This window comes from Homo sapiens, chromosome 16 (genome assembly GCF_000001405.40).
Source record: "Homo sapiens chromosome 16, GRCh38.p14 Primary Assembly".
Classification (NCBI taxonomy): domain Eukaryota; kingdom Metazoa; phylum Chordata; class Mammalia; order Primates; family Hominidae; genus Homo; species Homo sapiens.
The window spans coordinates 61,842,140-61,859,211 of NC_000016.10; the positions used below are offsets into that span (position 1 = coordinate 61,842,140).

The following is a 17,072-nucleotide window of genomic DNA, read 5'->3' on the forward strand; positions in this document are numbered from 1 at the left end:
CTCGTGATCCGCCCGCCTGGGCCTCCCAAAGTGCTGGCATTACGGGCATGAGCCACCGCACCCAGCCAGAAATTTGTATGGTTTTAATGTTTGCTCCCTCTTCAACTCATGTTGAAATTTAGATGCCATTGTAACAGTATTAAGAATTAGGACATTTAGGAAGTGATTAGGCCATGAGGTCTCTGCTCCCAGGAAAGAATAAATGCCATTATCACAGGAATTGGTTGTTTATAAAAATATGAGTTTGGCCCTGTTTTGTCTCTCCCTCTTGCCCTCTCTTTGCCCCTTTGCCAACTGATGTCTTATGCAGCAACAAGGCCCTCACCAGATGCTGCCACCTAGATCTTGGACTTCCCAGCCTCCAGAACTGTGAACAAATAAACTTTTGTTTATTATAAATTATCCAGTCTGTGGTATTCTGTTATAGAAGCACACAACAGACTAAGGCAGAAATTCTATATGAAAACAAACATATACAAATAGTGACTCCCTTCAGACCTCTTCTGAAGATGTATAGAGGATTAGAGCTGACTTTTCCTGCCTCTTCACCTCTAAGATGGAAAACTCTGGCTACAGAATACTCAAGAGCCAGAGCAGTACTGCCCTACTTAACAGGGAGCTAGGTGGTGTCATTAATTTATGCCTGTGAAACATTCTGAATACCTTAGGATCAAATTACTGTTGTGCTTATTTTCGCTCTTACATAAATATTTGCACATGTGAAAATTCAGCACCTTGACATTTACTGAAATGGTTGCATGGAAAAATGAGGTAAATTGACTCAGAGACAGGTGTTGGCAGTCAGCACAGTGGAAAACAGCCCTTTGTCAAAGTAACAACCATACGTGGTGTAGCAAATGTTCAGAAACCAGGACCTGCTGGAGGTGGATGGGCTAAAGGGTGGCTCTAAAATGATACTTTCTGTCAGCTGCTGTGGGTCTGAACACACAGCCTGGACCCTCTGGTCCTATACTTTATACTTCAGGGCTGCTCCACCAAGATAATAAGGCTGGTATTTGTTTTGTGTATTAAATGTAAACAAGACTCAATTTTACACGCTAAATCATTTTCAAGCCAATGTCTTACGTTACCAACAATTTTCAGTTACAATGGGACTCAGAATTGAGAGATGCGGGATTCAAGACAGTAATATTTGGCTTAATGCCCTTCAGTGACATTTCTCACTTTGGCAGGAAAGGAACTCAAGTAGCTGAGTGAAAATCATGTATGGGTCGCTTTAAATATCTCAGCTTGAACCCTATAATATGCTCTGGAAAGGAGCTATGATCATTCATCCTTAGATATAAAGAAATGGGATCTCAGGGATATGGAATATCTTAGTCAAGGTCATGCAACTAGGAAATGTTGGGGAGAGAAGTGAAACCTAACTCTGACTCCTAAGTTCACATTCAGAACTTTACATACCAAGTTGTCTCCCCTGAAATTCCAAAACACATTGCTTCAAACTTGAATCCTCTCTCTCTCAGAAACAGTGACCACTCAGAGGCTTAGCTTTTGTTTGTTTGTTTGTTTGTTTTTTAAAAAAAGTTTATATGTGTGCAAGTGTCTTTATAGCAGCATGATTTATAATCCTTTGGGTATATACCCAGTAATGGGATGGTTGGGTCAAATGGTATTTCTAGTTCTAGATCCCTGAGGAATCGCCACACTGACTTCCACAATGGTTGAAGTAGTTTACAGTCCCACCAACAGTGTAAAAGTGTTCCTATTTCTCCACATCCTCTCCAGCACCTGTTGTTTCCTGACTTTTTAATGATTGCCATTCTAACTGGTGTGAGATGGTATCTCATTGTGGTTTTGATTTGCATTTCTCTGAGTATGTTTATTGCGGCACTATTCACAATAGCAAAGACTTGGAACCAACCGAAATGTCCAACAACGATAGACTGGATTAAGAAAATGTGGCACATATACACCATGGAATACTATGCAGCCATAAAAAATGATGACTTCATGTCCTTTGTAGGGACATGGATGAAACTGGAAACCATCATTCTCAGCAAACTATCGCAAGGACAAAAAAACAAACACTGCATGTTCTCACTCATAGGTGGGAATTGAACAGTGAGAACACATGGACACAGGAAGGGGAACATCACACACCGGGGACTGTTGTGGGGTGGGGGGAGGGGGGAGGGAGGGATAGCATTAGGAGATATACCTAATGCTAAATGACGAGTTAATGGGTGCAGCACACCAACATGGCACATGTATACATATGTAACAAACCTGCACGTTGTGCACATGTACCCTAAAACTTAAAATATAATAAAGTTTAAAAAAAAGTTTATATGTAAACCAGAGCATTTGTTTGGCTTATTTCCTTCAGCGAATTTTTCAGTTACTTTAGATGACAGTCCTCAATAACCATTTTCCAGGGTATAGGAGGCACATTACTTTAGAGTTCACGTGAAATGTAAATAAGGCAATTCCCATTTTTAAATGCACTTTCTCCAAGTCTATTTTCCAATGTTATAGAAAATGATGTGATCTCAGAATAGATTTCATTATGATGACTCTAGTATTTGATTATTGCAATTTAGTATAACTTGTGGATAGAAAATGAAACTTGATGGGTCAGGGTGGGTTCCTTTCTTCTAACTATTACAGGATAACTAAGGAAAGTTACGTATAGTGAGAAAAAACACGACCTGTGGCACATCAATAATCAGTTTATCAATATCTGATCAATAACAATCTTGTACAGTTATGCCATAAGGGAAAGACTTTAAAAGTATGACTTTGTAAAGTTGGTAAAACCTGGTTATTAAGAATGCCACTTTGATAGCAAGTCAGATTTAAACTCAAATGAATTGACTAAAGTCATACAGAGAGCAAAGTTAATTGTATAAGAACTGTATGGGGCCACTTCTTTCCTTGACCCCATTTGGTAAAGGAAAAACTAAGGACTAGCAAGGTTCATTCCCAGCTATCTCAATTACCAAATATTTTTACCAGCTCTACTGTCCCCTGACACATAGTAAGTCTTTTCTATCATTATAATTTGTGTCTAGGGTTGCTAATTTATACTCTGCTGAGAGTGAAAGCAAGAAAATAAAATCTGCTATTTGTTTCACTTTGTAAACACAGTCATTTATTATTATCTTCATTTACAGCTCATGAATTCATTTGTCCATAAACGGCACAATTAGGCAATCTCAATTTCTGTCTTTAGAAGATCCTCAGGAGTTAGAGTGCAAAGGTGGCTTCTAAGATAAATAATACCACAGCAACAATATTAAAGTTAATGGAATGGAAGGAAAGTTCCAATAGTGCTGTGTCACATACAATAAAACTTTACCGCACGTGAAAACTACCTTTAAAGAAACTCTCCAGATATGTAAAAAAAAAAAAAAAAAAAACTATCTAATTATAGCTATGCTTGCATTCACCAGCCAGTTCAACTCTGTTAACCCTATGAACACTATAATCTCTGATTTACTAAATTCCAAATTTCTGATCCTCATGGTGATATAAAACTGCCTAGCTCATAATAAAACTATCACACTTAAGATTCTGAATGGCAAATTACACATAATCACAAATTGTAAAGTGAGTCTAGTATAGTCCTTAAATCACTTTTCTAGCTTCTCCTTTGTTTTATTTATATAGCCATATGTGTCTTAGATTCTGCCCATGAGAACTCAAAAACTGTCTTTTTCACTTATTTGAAACATAATACCAGACCCATAGGAGTTTGAAAAACCGACTTATCCTGCAGATATCTATTTTAAAAGAATGGGTGTAAAACCTATTTATTTTCATTTTATAACCATGCAATTTTCTAATTGCAAGGGGAAAAAAAGGTAAGCCTACAGATCGGTACTTAAACTCAAAATTACTTTTAAATTAGAGTTTTGCTCCAAGTGGAAAGTCTCATAGCTTTTTAAGGAACGAAGGACTGATTCTCTTGAGACTGAATATGCTTTGCAAATGACTCCATTTTGAATTCCTGTACCCAACATTCCTGAATCATCCATATCCAGATGAATCAAAACTAATGATACTGGTAATTCAAGAATGTTCCATTAAGTTTCCACTTCCCTTTCATAAAATCAAAGTAAAATCATTGAAATAATAATAAATTAATGATCTCATTGCCTTATATGTTTCCTTTATGACACTTTGGATAATAAGCAAGAAAACATCCAATTGGTATAATTTTGGCATAAATTTTTATGATGGCATCTCTCCAGTTCTTTAACCTCCATCAAGTCAAATCTATTTCTACCCCACACATTTTGTCCCTGATAGTGGAGATGATTAATAAGTATCTATTCACTTAATTGAAAATAATTCACTTAATTGAAATTAAAAATTAATCTAAATGAGAGCATCAAGGTGTTTAGAGTACCTGTCTTCTTTTCCTTTGTCCAGACTCCTCTACATTTTGCAGATGGGAAGCCTGATTCAGCGGAGGTGGAAATGTGACAGAAGTGGTCAGAAAACCGAGCTCTGGAGTTTACTACCTGGGTACTTCTCAGAAATTAATTTGCCCAGAGATTTTATTTCCTTACATGAAAAGTAAGGACCATAATACCCACTTCACATAGTTACTAAGAAAATTATTGAAATGGCACAAAATTTGTGATCAATAAATGGTAACTACCTTCTGCTTAATTTTTGGAACAAAATAAAACAGACTGGGATACTCAAGAGTTACATTCCACTGTAATAAATGAGAAGTCACTGCTTCTAGAAGGGAAGAGGAGACACAAAGCATCTAAAGAGAAAACACTAGTGAAATGTTATGAGCTAGTCTTATGTAGAACTTACAGGCGCATCTTTATGTTCCTGGTCCACTATCAACAATCCCATAGCTACTGTTCCCTAATAATCAGATGCTGGGATATATTGAATATGACAAAAGATATATTCTAAGTTTTTAGAAAGCATCCATTTTTGAAATCCAGCATCTCCTGGGATCTGAAATTAAATGTATCAAAATCCTTCTGAAAAAGCCCATTTTTCTAACCATGTTCATTCTGGATTTAACTGTCTGTGTTTGTTTTCTCATTCATGACATATTATTTGAACAACTATCATGAGATGGGCCTGGTTCTAAGCCCTGCAATGCATAGTGAGGAAACCATCCAAGATCCCTGTCCATATGGCACAAACTCTTTTTAAAAAACACAAAAACAATATTTTTGGCACAAAAAGAGAAATTATGGCCTCATGTTTTAGTCCAGAGAAAATTATTTCATAGGGATGTTTCTGAAATTTGACTTTATGAGGAAACAAATTGAGTATTTTCCTCTTCCTTCTACCTCTGCTCTCTTAGTGGATTCTTACTCATGCATCAGAGACTAACTTTGGCTTAAAGAAAAGTGGTCTCCAATGTTAATTAACCCCCTTCTGTAAGCTTCCAATCATTTTATATATATATATATATATATATATATATATGTAATTAATATATAAAATTAATTATGGGAGGTGGGTGGAAACTTATGATGTTTAACTCTCTGTTAAGCAAGAACATTAGATAATCCTTCTCTTTGGAAGTTACATCTAAAGTTACTTTTGCCATAACATTTAAAGCAATTATTGAGCACTGGAGATTTCTGAAAGAATATATTCCATATAGTCTTAAATGCTGAGGATGCAGAGTTAGGTTATAGGAATGGGAAGGAGGGAACTACAACAATAAACATAAAAGATTACTGTCTATATCTATCAATCAATCTGTCTGTCTGTCTATATCTACCAACTATCCTACACACACACACACACACACACAGACAAACACACACACACACACTTTTTTATTGTAAAAGGAGTTATTACAAGTTAACATCCCTTGGATATTGGTTAATCTTTGATGCTGTTAGATAAACATGTTTTCCTATAAAATTAATGAAAACAAACCTTTGTTGTTCTTCACCAAATCATTTTGAACTAGTCATATGAAACAGAGCTAGATTTCCAAGGTCAAAAATGACATCACTATAGGAACCAAATATACAATTTAATTCTGAAGGGACATGATACATAGAAAGCTGAGAAAAAATCCTGATCCTACCTGGTGTGTTCACATTGGATGAATGCCACTGGGGAATACATTTTTTCTTTTGCTTCCAACTAAACCCATCCCAACGCATCCCAGTGTAATATCAGGTGTTACATACTGAGGTGGCTGTGTAGTTCATAGTCTTTCTATCCAGCATGCACATATGCAGACCTTGGTTTCTCCAAATAGACATTTCTTTGACTCTAGCTATGGTCAACACTGGAAAGCTCCTTGTGAACTTCAAAAATGGTTTGTCCAAAGGTGCAAATAACATGACCATCACACCACTTCAAGCTTACCCAAGTATATTTAACTGTTCTATGTGCTTGGAGTGGGGGGATTATTTTAATAATCACAAAACAATTAATATGACCTCAGCCCCTAGTTCATATATTGTATCTTCCACAGAAGACAACAAATGGGAAAATAAGTGATTGTTAAGTCATTGTGTGCACGCAGCTAGCTGTCCTCTTAACTATGAAATGAGCCATAAAAACTGGAGAAGGATGACATTTGTTGGGGGTATACATCTGTATATATTGAGCGGACACCTATTAGAAACTTAAAATTACATTTCGTCACAATCATTATCATCATTTATTTTGGGCATTTCAGACAAATCAATGAGATGTAAAGTTAGGTACAAGTAAAATTAGTCACTTTAGTTTCTCATTATTCTTCTTCAACGTATTAATTCATTAATTTGCCCAACAAATATTTATTGTAAACTATATGTAGAGTTTGACACCTGTTTGGCACTGGCCATATCATTTAACCTCAAAGATCCTCAAAATCTTCATCTTTAATAAGATATGTTAAAATAGCTACTTTACTTGATATAGGGATTAAATAAGAGTGCAAGCAGACACTGGAGACACTGGCCACCAGCACAGTTTGTTGCTACCTACAATTTTTGTTGTAATATTGATTCTTCTATCTGAAATGCAAAGAACATAAGAAAGGCAAGTGTCTTTCTCCATACTCTCTTTTGTCCTAAAACAATAATAGTATCATATGATATTATTCTCCTTCTCTTTAGTTGCTGAGAATGTGTGTATGTGTGTGTGGTGTGTGTTTGAAAGACCTGTCTCCCGCCTGTCTTCTTACTCCAAAAATGTGGAAATCTATGCCCATTACTGCATTAAAAGAAAAAAAAAAAGGAAATTGGATGAAGAGTGCATTAGGAGGAAACCCCACAGGTGACAAAAACCACTCTTTGGCTTCCTCCCAAGTCCTCCTGTCTATTGGCCTTGTGCCTAATATTTACAGGGAGAACTCCTGTGCTATGCCAAGAGGCTTACAAGGGACTCCACATGTAACAGAATTAGCCACCCTTGCACCTCTCCACTCCTGGCTTCCCACTTCATGAGAGGACATAATTTGGAGGGGGTGTGTGATTTTGTAAAGTGAATCAGCTGTGGGATTGGTAGAGCTACCTCATCCTTTAATCAGCACTTGGCATGGAAAGAGGTTCTAGGTCTCCTATGATGTAACTTTCCCAGCAATAGTCAAAATCTTACCTCCACTGCATGTCACTCCTGCCTTTCAAACTTTCAACTCCAAATCCAGCAGTTTTAATGAAAACAGGTGGTTTGTGTGGAACACAGCTGAAGGACTTTTCTACCTACCAACAATGCAAGAGCTTTTGGTTCTTCTAAGTGAAAATGTCCTATCACAAATATCACATTTTGTTTCATTAAATACAAACAAAAATAACAAAAGTAATGATATTAGTGATATCCTTAATTTGTGAAGATCAAAAGCAAATAATGGGACATATATTTTTTCAATATCATGAATGACTAGAAGACAGTGTTAGTGCTCTTAAAAATTGCGTACTTAATGAAGAATTATGTACAAGTGGACTTATATACTATCCATTTTGTGTTGCTATAAAGGAATACCTGAGACTGGGTAATTTACAAAGAAAAGAGGTTTATTTGGCTCATGGTTCTGCAAGCTCTACAAGCATGACACCAGCATCTGCCCGGCTTTTGGTGAGGAAGTTTTACTCATGGCAGAAGGTGAAGAGGGAGCAAGGCATGTCACATGGCAAGACAGGGAGCAAGAAAGAGAGAGGGAGGTGCCAGGCTCCCTTAAACAACCAGCTCTTGCATGAACTAATAGAATGAGAATTAACTCATTACTGAGGGGAGGGCACCAAATCATTCATAAGGGATCTGCCGCCATGACCCAAACACCTCTCACTAGGCCTCACTTCCAACATTGGAGGTCACATTTCAACATAAGATTAGGAGAGGACAAAAAATAATAATAAAATAAAAATAAAAACTGGGTACTTAAGTCACAAGAAGTGAAAGCACACATTCAAAGTCAGACTGAAATTAGTTACGTTTGGATTTCTAAATTGCAGATTACGTTTATTATATATCGAAAAAGTTCTTCAAGTAAAATCTTCTAATACCATTGAGAAAATGAAAACTATTTAATTTCTCAATATCACCCTGATCACCAATTTATCTTTTCCCCTGAGCACACAGCCCTTTGATTTCCTCATGCCAAAAGACCTTATTTAATAGCTCCCCTTACCCCACATTTTCATTTCTTAAACTACCATTAGTTTTTCAGGACATATTCTCTGTTATCACTACTCTAAAAAATACTTTCTTGCTCTTCATACATGTTTGCTAAGTTGGCACTTAGCAAACATCCCTATGTCATGAACCCTATATTATGTGTAGTATTTATCACACACAGCATTTCAATCTTAGTGCCCACAACATGGCAGCATGTAGATATTGACTAAGCATTGAATAATGTGAAGTATGAAGACATTCCCACCTATAAATGTATATCCCAGCATTGTTCATCTGCCTGAGTTTATCTCAGTACCCACCCCTTCTGAAATGTCTTCACTAAGCAAGTTCTTTAGCCAGTCCTCTTGGCACTGGAAATTATAATCTATGCAATCCTGATTAAAAAGAGGCCCTGTGTGTAAGCAATTTATCATTTTGACTCCGAAGGCATAAAAAGGACTCAATTCCATGAAGGCATTCCATGAAGACTCCATGTATTATCTTGATTTTTCTAAGAAAGAACCATTCATTACATGGATTTTTTTTCCCAAGGAATATTTTTTACTTAGCTCATTTTTACAGGTTCCACAGAGACAAATGTTGTTTGTACCCAATGAAGAAAAATGGTCTGAGTTTCAAAAAAAGGTCAATGAATTAACTTAGTTTATTTTTAAGCAGGTTATTTTTCATACTCTCACTTGCCTGGAGCAAAGTTTAGGCTGTTCTGAAACTTTACCCTGGTCTCTTTAGATAATTAAGCATTTATTATTCACTTGCCTTGCATTTTATTTAGATTTTCCATCTTCAATCACCTAGGATGGACTGCATCTGTTTTCTCACTGCTGTCCTCAAATTAGTGCCTTTTAAATAAATGCCACATTTCTCCTTGTCTGTGCCCAAAATATTACAGGCAAACATATGGTATTGGGGGTGGCAGGGAGGGGAAAACAAAAAAAAAACATTTTAAGAATACAAGTAAACTATTTTCAGCCTTTTGAAGTACCATAATAAAAACTATTCACAAGAATGACAATTCATTTTACAATTACTACTGCCTTCCATTTTCTCTGATGCTACACTGTCTCTCCAACACCTATGGATAGAGGAGGCCTGAACCTGCTTCCAAGTTCTTTAGGTCTCTTTTCAAACCAATGTCATTCCCAGGTATGAACTATACTGCTTGAAAGTTAAGTGGGAAGCAAGGGAGAAGGTCAAAAATTGAGGTATGGGATCAGGCAGATTCACCTTGAATCCTGCTTCAAACACCTTGGGCAAGAAACATGCAAGTCAAACTCAGTTGTCTCATCAGTAAAAGTGAGATGACACTAATACCTACCTCAAAATATTGTGTGGAAAAAATTAAATTAAATTCAATAATGTATGCAAACCCAGTTAGCACAATGGCAAGAACATAGTAAGAGTTCAATAAATAAAGTTCTTGTTCTGTTCTTTTTATTCTTCCTGTTATGATTTGACAGAGGAATTTATCTAAAGGTGAGAAAGACATTTTACTTCATTCTCTCCGAAACACAGTTTTGTCATTTGCAAAATGGAGACAGAAATTCTTCACTCCACAGTTTGGTTTAGTGTTTTGTCAAACCTAAAAGACTGTATATACACAATGATTTGGCTTTCTATTGTTGCTGTTATTATTAGCAGCACTAGTAGTACCATCACAGTGACCTCTGGAATAGGAAGATATATTAATAATCATTTCTTCTTTGTTTAGTGGTCCCAGAACCTTTCTATCTCCTTGTATGATCTAGAAGCAAATCTGAGCAAGAGTTTATTATGGTCTCAAGGCTATTTTTGCAAATACTAGAATAGCATTGTGTTGCCTAGACACTTAAAACATAGTATGAGATTTGGAAAAAGCATGAATGCTGCTCCTAAATGAATTTCAAACAAAACAATCATATCTGAGATTAATATGGTGTTCTTTCCATCAGAGAAACAGATAGAAGTATAGACTGGATACCAAGCTTTATTCCCTAGATGTTTCCTCTTACATCTTCTCTATGAATTGTGGCAAGCTTTTCTCTTTCTATTAATTTGCACTTTCTTCCTCCTTCCCTTTATCCTCCCTGCTTCTTTTGCACATCCCTCCCGGCCTTCCCTTCCTCCAGCTCTCCCTGACTCTGCCCTTCCTTCCTTCCTTCCTTCCTTCCTTCCTTCCTTCCTTCCATTCTTCCTTCCTTCCTTCCTTCCTTCCCTCTTTCCCTCATTCCATCCTTCACTACTTACTGAAGGACTTCTAGGTGCCAGACATCTAGGCATAGGAATGCATAGATTTGCAAAATCAACAAATCATACAAGCCCCCTTCTTTCCTGGACCTTGCACTCTAGCATGGTAATTAACTTAAAAAATATAAACAAGTCAATAAACAAGATAACCCTGATTTTGTTAAAGCTCAAAGAAGAAAATAAAGAACAAATGGTATATCTCTCTGTGCTCTTAAGGTGATAACTGAAACAATAGAAGAAGCTCTCTCTGATATGTTATGGCAACAGAAAATAATTCCATGAAGTGAAATGTAACAAGCAAGGGGAGAGCAGAACTTATCTGTTCCAAATTCCAGAGTTCTGTTTTTAGCATTCTTGCGAGGAAAAAACAAGATACATACAAGATTTATTGTCTCATGCCCTGGTTTATTTTTTGTTATTGAAAATATGATAACAGCAAAGAAGAGCTGACAGTGGTCAATGGACAATCTTCTTTATAAAGAGTATGAATGTGACTGCCTTATGTAACCCGGTGAGGGACTGTTCACTGTCACAATATCGATCATTTTAGCTACAGATTTGACCCTTGATAGTATGCCAGAATCCTGGTGTAAAAAGGAACTGAAGGTTGGTCCCACATATGTGGTGATGTGTAATGGTATTCAGCCAACATTTTCGAACCCATCTATGCTGGGTCACTTCCTGAAGTAATGTGCAGACCTATCATGTAAAGAACCATCTTATTAGGTGCTCTCAGAGGTATGTGGGTCTTAGGTAACGAGTCTCTGCTCATCCATGACATTTTCTTTCTTTTACTAGAATTTGGATTCTTGGGTCAAAATTAGTAGCCATTCATAATGTTTTTGACCCATAGCATGCATTTTTAAAATCAACGTATATATTAATATTCCCATTATCGGTTTATCCACCAAGTACTTGCTATTCCTGCATATTATAGTTTTTAATATCACATTTGCTAAATCTATAGAATTAAAAGTTGTTTTCTTCATATACATATATGTGTATATATACATGTACATATATGTATGTATAAATATATATGTATATACATATGTATGTGTGTATATACAAGCACATATTTACATACACATGTGTATATATGTATACATATATGTGTGAATATACATGTATATATGTTTATAAGTACGCACACACACATGCACACATATACACATACACACACACACACACACACACACACACACTGCAGAAGACACAGAAGCCCACTGCTTGCATTTTCCTGCCAAAGGATTACTTTAAGGATTTCCATGCAGTTAGCTGAGACCCTGTAGCTGAAGTACCTTTAGGCTTGACCTCAGGATCCAAGTCAAGACCCTGCTTTCCACAGGCACATCCCAGCCAATGACTGAGCATGGTGAGTTTATTAAAGCCTGGCCGTTTATGTGCAACATGAGACTCCTTTTAAGAGTAATGTTTGCTCCAGGGGTCCCATTGTTTTGGTCAAGATGTTGTCAGATCTACATTGCCTTATACTGCTTTTTCTCCTCTTTGATCGCATGGGTAGAAGATCTGCATTTGATAAGAGGAACTTCCATGTCCAAGTCGGCTACATACCCCTTTTATTTTTCACAGTCATAAGCCCCTAATAAGCCATTGGCACTACTATCTCTGTCTCAGCATTCTATTTTCCAAAGGACCCAACTAATACACATCTTTTGTTCCCCACAAAGGGGGTATTTGCTTTCCATATGCTTACAGACTTTAAAATCTAAATGTTCAAGGCCATTGCCTCTTTTTTTCTTGTTTTTCTAATAAAAAATGTTAAACAATGTTCTTAATCTATTTCTGCTTAGCTTGTATAACCTCCTTTAAAACACACACACATTTTATCAGTCTCAATTCTTTTTTTTAAGAGAGAGGTCCTCAAAGATAGAGTCTAATTTAGATTCTTAGGGACAACTAACACTTACTGCTTTCATTTGAACACACTCAAGCATAATTTTGCAGACATTTACCCAAAAATGTTTACATTCCACTCATACATATTTATGTTTCATCTAAAGAACTTAGTCTGACTTTTATCGATTATTGAATTTAGCTTCTATTTTTATTTAAATTGTGTCCACCTTACTTAAAAACCTCAACTTCATTCACCCAACATTACTAAGAAAATATTCTGTGAATTCTTCAAGTATCATCTATCTCCATTACACTATCCACGATAATGCCAAATAAACTTTCTAAACTATAAATCAGACAATTTGATATCTGTCAGATTGGAAGTGATAAAACTAAAATGAGTTTGTGTTGATATATATACACATTATGCTGAATAAAAATGTAAATATTAAATGTTGCTGACAACAGTTAATTAAACAAATGGCAATCTATATCACTGAAACTTATAATTGTCCAAATCCTCTCACTTAGCAGGGGGCTTTTATTATTTATACCTCATAGTAATTTATTCCTAAGAAACAAATTATCTAAATGACATTACCATGCTACCTTTATTTATGGTGGAAAAAGTCTGTCTTTTGAAATGGATTATGAGATACTTGTAGACTGAGATTAGCCTTTGTGATTTTTTTCTCCCTATATTTAATCCAGTGCCTGGCACACAGTGAATGTGTATAGGTATGTCAATAGGTATTTTCTGGATTAATGTCTATTTTGCAGTGGCAATGGTGAACAAAAAGACCCAATTGAACAAATGGCCAAGAAGAGAACATTACTCAGGTCCATTTTGGCATCTAACACATTTCTGTCTTACAGAAGACCCTGTGCCATAGTTATTACCTATTAAACTGAAGTTCAAAACAAATTTGACATTAGTATCGAAATAAAAAACCAGGGTGTGAGTCCCACCTCTGCTATGAACTCTGCCACTGTAACTTTGGCCAAGTTATAGGACATCTCAAACTTGAAGGCAGCCACCTGCTCTGCCATTTCAGGATCATCAAGGGACCCAAATGAGAAAAAGTTTAGAACAGACTTCCTTCTTGGCTGCGGAAGGATATATAATTATACCCCTAATTAATGTGTTTTACAAGAGTTCTTTCCTGTTTCCAAATCTAAATTCAATTTTACGCCCTGACCTATTTATATATAAATGTACTTTTCCTCAGTATTAAACGTATTAAGATTTTACCCTTTGAATTTAAAAGAAAAAAGCAGGGGTAGTCTTTAAATTTTTAATTTAGTTAATAACTGAATTAATGGTAAGTCATAGAAATTTATCTCAACAGCGCTGAAAAGTCATGAATCAAAGAAATAATAATATATGTATATGTGCCTGTACATTGAATTTTTCTATTTGGAAACTTACATACAATACCACTGGATATAGAAGAAAATATACAAAAAAAATTGCTTTTTAAACAATAATTGTTCTTAATAATAGTTTTTAAATGTGCTACAACAAAACTTCACAGGATTTACAAGTCAGACAAAATATGTTTGATCTCTTAATATACTGTTAAATTAAAACATTAAAAACATATATCTTCATTTATTAAAAACTTATTTTTATAAAGCTATTTTTTAACCTGGTTTAAAAAGGCTGTTTGTTAGATAACTTACTTCATGGCTTATAAAATCTGTACCACCAGATCACAGGGTATTAGCTGGATTTAATATTGACCATAATAATATCTTCATAAGAGCTCTAATGGATATATATGTATTGTGTTTTACAAGGAGGAATCTAGTAGCAAATGTAATAATATCTAAAGTGCACTGAATGATTACCACATGACGTGCACTGTGTGTTTGGTATTTATTGTTTTATCTGATCTTCTTCACAGTATTATGTGGTACGTTCCATACCCATTTTACAGATGTGCAAATTGGAACTTAGATACTTTTCAAGCATCACACAGCCAATAAGCAACTGAATTTTCACTTAAATCTACTATTTAAGTTTCTCTGATATATAAGCACATTCTTCCCTTTATTCCAGGATGAAAAATGGTGTCAGATCATGTGTTAAATAGGTGATATCCTACAAATGCTCTGTGATTTGTCGTAATCAGCATCAAAAATGGTTGTAGGGCTCACTGTGTACCTCATGTCGCATATTCAAATATTATTGATGCAGGCAGTGAAGTACTTACACATAATATTTCATAACCCAAATCCCAAGAAAAGCATTTCCCTGAAGCAAAAACATGGCAAATATAATTCGAAATTTAGGCCACAAACCTGTTTCAGGCTCAATGGAAAAATAAGGCTGCCCTTCCAATATACTATAAACCAACTTTGCACTGTTTCCATAAACTGGGTCATCAGCGTCGGTCGCAGTGACGTTAGTGACAGATGTACCTAATAAAATAGAGAAAGAAAAAAGATAATAATTAACACATTGTCCTTTGCCAAGAGCTACATTTTGTCAAGTATTTTATACAGAAATCCATGTGTAGGGAATAAAAGGAAAAGAAATCTTTTTAAAAAGTTGAAGATAAACTGCTCTCTCATAACTTCAACAATATCTAAGTCTTTTAAAAGAAAGAGTCCTGGAGTACTATATAAAGATACTTTTAGTATCTGTATTATTTAAGATTACTTTGTAGCTTTCATTTTAAAGATAAGTATTAGAAGCATGCAGGCTTGGGGAATATGCAAAGGAATCCTAACAAAGGAATATGAAATATAAGGTTAATAATATAATATACCATGTCACATTTACGTCTTACAAAAGTACAACTAAATGTACCTGGAAAAATTGGCTGCTGAAAAGCTGTACAGAAATATCAAAAGAATATTTTATACCATCTTGTTTAATTATTCAGAATATAAAATTAGATCTGAGTCACCAATTAATCATCTTGCTTACATAATTAGGCATAATGGATAACAGAATCATAACCTTTTTTTCAAATTTATTTTTTATTCACTCATTCATTCAACAATTGAGCATATACAGTTTGCCTGTTATGGAGTATATATATAAAAATATAGGGGAAATTTAATGCCAAGATGGGGAGCGTTGGCTTTACCCTGTAGGAAATAGGGAAGAAATTTCAGTTAAAGAGCAAACCTATACATTTTGGATTTAAAGAGCAACCAAATCTCTATACATTTTGATGCCATTAAAAAAAATAACTTCCACCTGCCTCCCCAAGTATATTGTTGGCAGACATGTAAATAATCAAACACACACACACACACACACATACACACACACACAACAAATCTTTACACTCAAAAAGCTCGCAGTTCGAGGGGGAATAAGAGGAGGAAGGGTCAAACAAATAGAGAAGGAAATTCAGCTGAATGCAGTAGCACCAATTATGGATCTCTCACTTAGTCCAGCACAGACAGGGTGATCAGGAACATTTTCTAACAGAGGTTGCCTTTGAGTTAAATCATCAAAGAAAGGTAGAGTTTAACCAGGAGAAGGAATTCTAAGCAAGAACATAAACATAAGAAAAGGCAAAGTAGTGGGAGAGACTATGGGAAGTTCTGGGAACTCCTGAAAATGGAAAGAAATTGAAAAAGTCTGGTGTGGTAACAAGAATCACATGCTGTGAGGTCAGGGCCAATGTCTTCTTCATGCAGCAAGTGCTGGAAACATAATGGTTATTGAATATACCTTTACTCATTGAATAAATGGGTGAGTGAATAAATTATCTGACGATTTAATGAGAAACAGCAGGCAGGTGTTACAGATTAGTTTCCTTGGAAGTAGACTCTGAGATAAAGACTTCTTGCTAAACTTTCACTGGAGAGCATTTTAAATCAATATCTATGGGGGGAGTGAAAAGGACAAAACTGGACAGAAGCATCTGGGATGTGATGCAGTCACAACGAAAGCCTCATTGGACTCCATAGGGCTCTAGAGATGGCATGCCCGTTGAGGAAATGGGCCAAGCTTTTATATTCCAGCAGGAAACAGTTACAGCATGCAAGATGCCCCCTGAGAACGGAGCCTTAGTCTTGGCCCAAGCAGCTCCCTTCAGGGGAGGACAACTACAAAATGGTGGCAGGGAGTATCGGTGTTGGGCTGTCAGAAATCAACATGTTCAGCAGCAACTAGGGGAAAAGCAGCATACCTCAGTGTTTACTGAAATAGGGTAGAACTTTAGCAAGATCTAGTCCGTCAATATCTTTTGGAAGTGTTTTGAATTACAGTCACTCCAAGTGAAAAGATAATAATAATATTTGTTGAGCAGTTGATAGTCCTGTAAAATTGGAATTTCTACTCAGAATGATGACTCAGAGGTTCTACAAAATCTGCAGTTATAAAAAAATGCAACTCAATGCCTCTTGTGTAACACATTCCACCAGATGCAAGT

At 35.8% G+C, this 17,072-nt stretch overlaps 1 protein-coding gene across 5 annotated transcripts in view; it reads right to left on the bottom strand.

The window, feature by feature from the left end:
• The window catches only part of CDH8 (cadherin 8), a 389,189-nt gene that overhangs the window by 194,890 nt on the left and 177,227 nt on the right, over window positions 1–17,072 (bottom strand). For all 5 annotated transcript variants that reach the window (NM_001796.5, XM_005255760.5, XM_047433482.1 and 2 more), the window contains exon 4: window positions 14,980–15,099. In NM_001796.5, the coding sequence (NP_001787.2) occupies window positions 14,980–15,099 (120 nt within the window). The remainder of the gene's footprint in view (window positions 1–14,979; window positions 15,100–17,072) is intronic.